The 7713-nt window shown below is 37.5% G+C and overlaps 1 long non-coding RNA gene across 1 annotated transcript in view; it reads left to right on the forward strand.

The window, feature by feature from the left end:
• Nucleotides 1-5716, forward strand: part of LINC02408 (long intergenic non-protein coding RNA 2408) — a 47050-nt gene extending 41334 nt beyond the window's left edge. The window contains exon 3 of the long non-coding RNA NR_103861.1: nucleotides 4099-5716. This is a non-coding gene — a long non-coding RNA (long intergenic non-protein coding RNA 2408). The remainder of the gene's footprint in view (nucleotides 1-4098) is intronic.
• The last annotated feature ends 1997 nt before the right edge of the window (nucleotides 5717-7713 follow it).

Raw genomic sequence — 7713 nt, forward strand, 5'->3', positions numbered from 1 at the left:
TGCAGTGTGTACTATTTGCTCCTGCCTGTCTTAGTCAGCTCAGGCTACCGTAACAAGTACCATAGACTGGGGTGGCTTAGAAAATCCAGGATCATGGTGCTGTCCATTCGGATCCTGGTAAGGGCTTTCTTCCCGGTTTTCAAAAGGCTGTCTTCCCTCTGTGTCCTCACATGGCAGAGAGAGTGAACTTCAGTCTCTTCCTTTTCTTATAAGGACACTAACTCCATCATGGGGCCTCCACCCTCATGACCTCGTTAAAACCTAATTACCAACAAAGGCTCCACTTCCAAATAATATCACATTGAGGGGTTAGGGCTTCAACATAGGAATTATGGAGGGACACAAACCTTCAGTCTATGACACTGTCCCAGGGCTTCTCTGAAGCTGCGGAGAGAGACTCTCACACAAACCCATTCAACATTCACGCACTTGCAGTGTAGAAATGCAAGGGAATTAACTGTTTGGATACCCTCCATCAATAAAGCACAGGAAACACTAGATAAGTGCCTCTCGTTTCACACTCAGGTGGACAGTTTAGAGTCACAGTTTATGAAGATTTCCAGAAGCCCCATCAGAATCCAGCTCTTGTTGCTCACAGTAGTGGCCAATTCAATGCTGCATTTCTTTATTGCCTTTTTCTCTTAACTTGTTTAACTCCCCCTGATTGCTACTCGTCCTCCTTGGGATCATGTTGTCAGACTACCTACAAAAAAGCTTTGTATCAGCTCTGATTTCAGGAGAACCCAAGCTAAGAAAATATATATGCTTGCATATGTATAAAATAGTTCTAAAAAATAAAATATGTAACTAATTACCATTATTTACCTCTTTGATGGAGACAGAGCTATGAGAAGAAAGTCCTTATTTTTAGTATATGTCTTCCTGTACTTTTGAATTTTTAAAAAGGTGTACATGAATTATGTACTAAAGAGTTTTTTTAAAGTGTGACATTTTGGGTCACACCTTCACTCAAAATTTTCAGACTTTGCTGCATTATTTTGACATTGATAATTGCTGCAGTAAGATTTGAGGCCAGTCTCAGATACTTTTTTTCCTTATCAGTGACTTACTATTTCTGCCTTAATTGATGAAAAATTTATTCTTGAGTTTATATTTGATATTCAGCAACTTTACCAGGATATACTTTGTGTCAATGTTCTGTATCAACATCTCCCTAAACATATGTACTTTTAGTTTGCACATTTTCTCTTCCATTTTAGAAAATGTTTATTCCATTTTATCTTCAGGTTAGTTTTTTCTCTGTTCCATGAATTGGGTTGTCACCTTCAAAGACTCCAATTATACTTGTGTTGAAATGTCATTGTCTTCCCACTCTGTCGTCTTTTTATTTACTTTATAGATTTCCTTTTCCTTTGCATTTAGTTTGCTTATTTTAAGCAAGTTTTTTCTTTGGTCTGTGTTACCAATGTTCTTAGCCATATATATATATGTATTTTCAATGCCCTTATGTTTCTAGTGCCATGTTAAGCATGGAGTAATTGGAACCAGAGAGCCAGATTTGAATCTTAGCTCCAAAGCTTTCCAGTTGTGTGACCTGAAGCAAATTATATAGCTTCTCTCTGAGGAGGTTTCTATTTTTAAGTATTCTTCTCTTACATAATTATCTACATCTCTGAGTAAGAGAACCTTTCAAGGTTTGTATTTCATAATAGGCAGTCGTACAAAGTCCACTTGGCTTCTTGAATTGCTGACAAAATTGTTTCTGGTGATTTCCAGTTCTTTGAAAGAGGCTACCCTCGCTCTAAGATTTGTTATTTTGGCTCTTCATTCAAGTCCTGCTGAGAGGCAGTATATTATAACAGCTGAAGAGCATGGGCTCTGAAATCATTCTGCCAGGTTCAAATCCTGGCTTTGCCCCTTTGGAGCTCTTTGGAAAGCTACTTAACCATTTGTACTTCAAATTCCTCATCTGTAAAATGAGAAAACAGTAACCCTTACCTTACAGTGTTCTTGTGAGGATTATATGCATAATGTACTCAAAATATTTTAACAGTGTCTGGCTCATAGTAGGCTCTTTGTAATTATTCAGTCTTATAACTACTATTATGTGCTCATTTTATTTATTATTTTTATAATAGTGTTTTTGAGCCTTAATTTTTTATGTAGTTCTCCCATTATATTTTTCATCTTATATTGTTCTATCATCTTTTTTTGCCTGTCATTTTCATTGTTTTCCTATTCCTCTTAAGATTAGAGCACTCATAATGGGAAATTTTCTTCTGATCTATTCAGTTATGTTTTCTCCCAGAAAGGATGGTTTATCTACCACATATATCCTTTTTTTGCCTTTTTAAAAATGATAACATCTTTTGCACAGTTGCCATGCTCTCCCTTTCTCCTTTCCATTTTTCTTGCAGTCAGCTTTATTAAGACCTTGTGTGTCTGTCTCATAAGTTTAGCTTGCTTGTAGAGTGTATTTTGTTTTCTGTGTCCTATGGCCCAGAGAATAGATAATCAGCAGTAATTTTGTTTAGATTCACCTTCTAGGGCCCTTTCTACCACTGTGGGGCTTTATCATATGTTAGTGGGTAGCATCTTTAGACTTCAGATCATTTCCCCAATTCAAGATGGGGCCTTGGAAGCTCTACTTCTGACAGAAATGATTGTCTTAGGTGTTCATTATCTGGCATTGCTGTCCTCCCTCCAGCTGCCATTGCCATACTTAGCTAGTAGAGAAAAAAAAGAAATGCGGAACCACGAGTTGGCAAACACACATATTTTCAAGTCAAGTGGCTTCAGACAGGATGACTGTCATTTGGTAAGTGAAACTCTTTCTCCTGGGTCTCTTATTCCTTGGAAGTTTTCTCCTTACTTACCTGCGGTTTTCTATTCTGCTTCTATTCTATTCTTCTATTCTGTTTATAGCTACATGTACTTATCATGTTCCTACTTTGCTTTTGAGTTTCTTTCTTGCCAAAAAAAAATATGTATATATAGTGTTAAGCTCCAGGAGGTTTTCCTGCTCCAAGGAGGTGTTGTGTGTACATGGTGGGGCACAGAGGTGTGCTACTATTTCCACGTGGTTTCCTTCAGGATAATTATACTAGGCCCTCTGTTTAGTTTTCTTCAAATTAGTGGCAGGGGTAGGAAGGGAAGTTTAGGACCTTTGCTGTTTCCTAAAATATTGCTTCCCTTCTTTCTTTATTTCTGGTGGTGGTTTTTGTTTGTTTGTTTGTTTGTTTTTGCTAAATGCCATGCTTTTTGTCTTATTTGAGAGAGGCAAAGAGTAATGATAGAAGCTATCTTGAGAATGTAAGTTTTAAATAACCATGGTGCCCAATTTTCCACTTCATATATCTGTAAGGTAGACATCAAATTTCTGCTTGGATATTCTCTATGATGATCATTTATAATTTCAGTTACAGTCAGGCCATCTTACTGGGGAAGGGGAAGTAATTCTAATTAGTAATATTTTGTTTCTCTAAAATTTGACCTGAATACTGCCTTATTTTATCTTCTATGTATTGCACCTGAGTCTGTCACGTGGAATTATACAAAGTCAATTGAATAATTAAAGAGTTTACACATCTATATTTTCAGTTTTCTCTCCTGTGGGCCAGTGGTTCCTACCTCCTTCAATCCCCCTCATGTGATATGATTTCACAATTGCTCATTGCTCTCCTAGACCTATTGGTAAATATCCAGATATTAGATATTGGTAAACATCTAAATATCTAGATAATTGGTAAATATATTTTAAGATGTTGTGACCATAATGGAATACACCAATCCAGATGGCTGGAAGAGGCAAATGAGTCTCCTGGTGTTGAACCACGCATATTAGTAGTCAGTAGCAAGGAGGATAGGACTCTCTGATTGTAGGTGGTGTCGCCTGAAGAAACAGGATGAAGAACATGTTTCATTAGTGTTTCGCGGTTGTATGCCTGAGAATCTAACTCTGGCTAATTGAATCAGAAAGGGAATGTATCAGAAGGGTATTGTGGATTTCACATAGTTGAATGAAAAACCAGAGAATCAGACTGGGAAATAAGACAGAAACCAGGACAAAAATTACCTGTTTGTTAAGGTATTACTGCTGGAAAAAATGAACTTCAGCAGTTTCTTCTATCTTCACAGCACTGTTTTCAGCAGACAGAGTCCTAAGTGGATGCCTGATTGGCTGATCCTGGGACACGTGCCTGCTCACTGGATGTACTGAGGCTATGAGAAGAAGGATCTGGCAAAACAAACCTCAGGGACCTCATCAAGAAGGCAGAGGACCTGGACTAACCATGACATCCAAACTGAACACAATTTTAGAGATAATTCCCACAGAAGAGACAGGATTTCTAGAAAATGGAAATAGCCCGCTCTTGGAAAAGAATGGGCATTTACTGAGATGCAACTATAAGCTGGTGAAATATAATTTTGTTTAAAATCATTTAATTTTATTCCACATCATTTTCCTTTGAAGATATTTGAATTGCCAGGGACATTAATATTGTCAAGGAGATTTGCTGTTTCACCCAAATATGAGATGTCCACTTTGGGATTAGATCCCTGCCTCATTCAAATTTCCTTTTCCCTTAGTCTTTTCTTGAGTTACGGACATTTGTTCATTTTTTTCAACTTATTCAACAAGTATTTATTGAACAACTACTATGTGCCATATACTGTTTTTGGTTTGGTATGGAAAGCCTGTAGGAATCTCTGTTGTAATTTTGGGAATTTGCCCAACCTGCTCTTTAGGTGGTGCTATGAACTGACTTGTGTGCTCCCAAAATTTATCTGTTGAAGCTCTAAGCTCCAATGTGATGATATTTGGAGATGGGATCTTTGGGAATTAATTAAGGTTAGATGAGGTCATGAGGATGAGGCCCTTATGATGGGATTAGTGCCCTTATAAGAAAACACACCAGAGTGCCTGCTTGCTCTCTCTCTCTGCCATGTGAAGACACAGTATGAAGGCAGCTTATTGCAAGCCTAAGAGAGAACCCTTGCCAGAATTGGACTTCCGGTCTCCAGAACCATGAAAACATAAACTTCTGTTGTTTAAGCCACCCAGTCTACGGAATTTTGTTCTAGAAGCCCAAGCTGACTAATATGGTTGGAGTCCAGTGCTTTGCGTGAAGAAGGTACATCTCTAAAACTAAACATTTTGCTCATTGAAGCTTGATCTGAAATAATTAAGACTTTGGTCGTGAAAATCTTAGACAGAATCCATTCAGTGACTACCTTTATTCTGAATTGGCAGGCAGGCAGTTCTGATAGATCTGAGAAGATTCTTTTGACAACAATTTCTCCAACTTCAGATATGTTGAAAAACAAAATAAATATGTTAATAATTAACATGATGTAATGAACTTCAGTAGTAAATTAAGACTAGAAGAGATTAGGGGTACCAGGAATCTTGGTTGTAAAGTGGCATATATAAACATAGTTGCATCAAAACTTGCTAAAGTGGCCAGGTGCAGTGGCTCATGCCTGTAATCCCAGCACTTTGGGAAGCCGAGACAGGTGGATCACCTGAGGTCAGGAGTTTGAGATTAGCCTGGCCAACAGGGTGAAACCCTGTCTCTACTGATAATACAAAAATTAGCCAGACATGGTGGCACACGACTGTAATCCCAGCTACTTAGGAGGCTGAGGCAGGAGAATCGCTTGAACCTGGGAGGCAGAGGTTGCAGTGAGCCGGGATCGCACCATTGCACTCCAGCCTGGGCAACACGAGCAAAACTCTGTCTCAAAACAAAACAAAACAAAAAAAAACACACATGAACAAAAAACAAAACAACAATGACAAAAAAACTTGCTAAAGCATTGGAAGTATTGAGGCCATTTATTAAAGAAATGCTGTATAAAATAACAGCAGAAGAAATGAGAATGGAAAGAGATTTCTGAAAAAGAATTATAAGTGACTGTAGGGAAGTGTTAGTTTTGTTATAGGGTAGTCGGGAGTGCAGAATACATAAAAGACTTGATTTTACCTATAAAGCAGTAGTTTATTAAAGAATATAGCAAGAGGAATAGATTGTTGGAAGGATAGTTTGGTTCATCGTCAGAAACTCACTGCCTTATAGCCTATCCCTCCCTCCTTAAGAGGCATGCCCTTGTGGACTTAAAATTTCTTTGGCTCAACGCACAGGAACAGCTTAAGTTGTACCTCTTTTCAGTTGGTTTCATACCTTTGCAGAACATCCAAGGGCAACATACATATCACTATTACATTTGGATGGGGGAAGTACTGACTCCACTTTGCTCATTTTAATCAATACTAGTCTCTTTTCCTATTTCATACTCGATGTAATTTTGATAATATAAAAAAAACTTATAGTTCCTCTATTAGTATATTTATTGGAGGTACTTCGATACATAATTTCTATAAGCAACTTTATTGAATTATGCATGTGGAACCAGATCTTAATGACAACCTCCTCTCTCTAACCTCTAACACATTTGCTGTAATGAGCAGGATAATGCACCCTGCCACACACATACACACACACAAAGATGCTCACATCCTAATCTCTGGAATCTGGAAATATTTTATGTTTCATGACAAAGGGGAATTAAGATTGTAGATAAAGTTAAGGTTGTTAATCAGCTGTTGTTAAAATAGGGAGATCATCCTGGATTATCTGGATGAGTCCAGTGTACTCACAAGTTTCCTTGCATGTGAAAGATGGAGGCAAATGAATTTGTGTCAAAATGTGTGAGAAGGATGTGATCTGTCATGGCTGGCTTTGAAGATGAAGGGAGCCATGAGCCAAGGAAGGCAGGCAGCCTCTAGATGCTTGAAAAGTCGAGGAAACAGATTTACACCTAGACCTCCAGAAAGGAACACACCCCTGCTAACACTTTGAAATCAGCTCAGTGACACCCATGTTGGACTTCTGATCCCTAGGGCTATAAGATAGTAAAGGTTGATTGTTTTAAGCCACTACATTTGTGGTAATTTGTGACAGCAGCCATAGGAAACATATACTTGCTATACAGTAATCCCTTGGTATCCATGGGGAATTGGTTCCAGGACAACCCCCCTTCCCATGGATACCAAAATCTGCGGATGCTCAAGTTTCTTATATAAAATGGTGTAGTATTTGCACATAACCTATGCACATCCTCTTGTATATTTTAAATCACCTCTAGATTACTTATAATACCTATAATACAATGTAAATGTTATGTAAATACTTGCTATACTGTATTTTTAAAATTTGTATTGTTTTTTATTGCTGTATTGTTAATTTTTATTTTTCAAATATTTTTGATCCTTGGTTGAATAAACGAGCGCAGAACCCGCTGATACAGAGAGCTATTGTGCGTATTTTGTCTTATACCTCAAAGTTAAAGTAGGTATTTGTTTAGAGAGGTCAGGCAATTCAAGAACATGGCAATCTACCTTCTAGAATTCTGGTTAAAGACATTCAGGAATACAATATAAAAAGGTGGATCTCTCCAAATACTGATATTTGCATCAGAAGAGATTTTGGTTATTCATATAATGATTGAAATGAAAACCACAAAGTCTAGTGAAGAAAATACCTTTTTCTTCAAATGTAGAACAGCTTTATGGAAGGTTTAAAATTAATTTTAAATTTCAGTTTCTTCTGAATAAATGGATCCTTGGAACCCTTTTGTTGTTTATCAGATTGGAGGACATCTAAAATGAAGCATGATGAAAATTCCATCCATGAAAATAGATCTTTGCAAAATGTCATGGTAATTATTCCCAGTCTCAAGTCCATATGC

This window comes from Homo sapiens, chromosome 12 (genome assembly GCF_000001405.40).
Source record: "Homo sapiens chromosome 12, GRCh38.p14 Primary Assembly".
In the NCBI taxonomy this organism is placed as follows: Eukaryota; Metazoa; Chordata; class Mammalia; order Primates; family Hominidae; genus Homo; species Homo sapiens.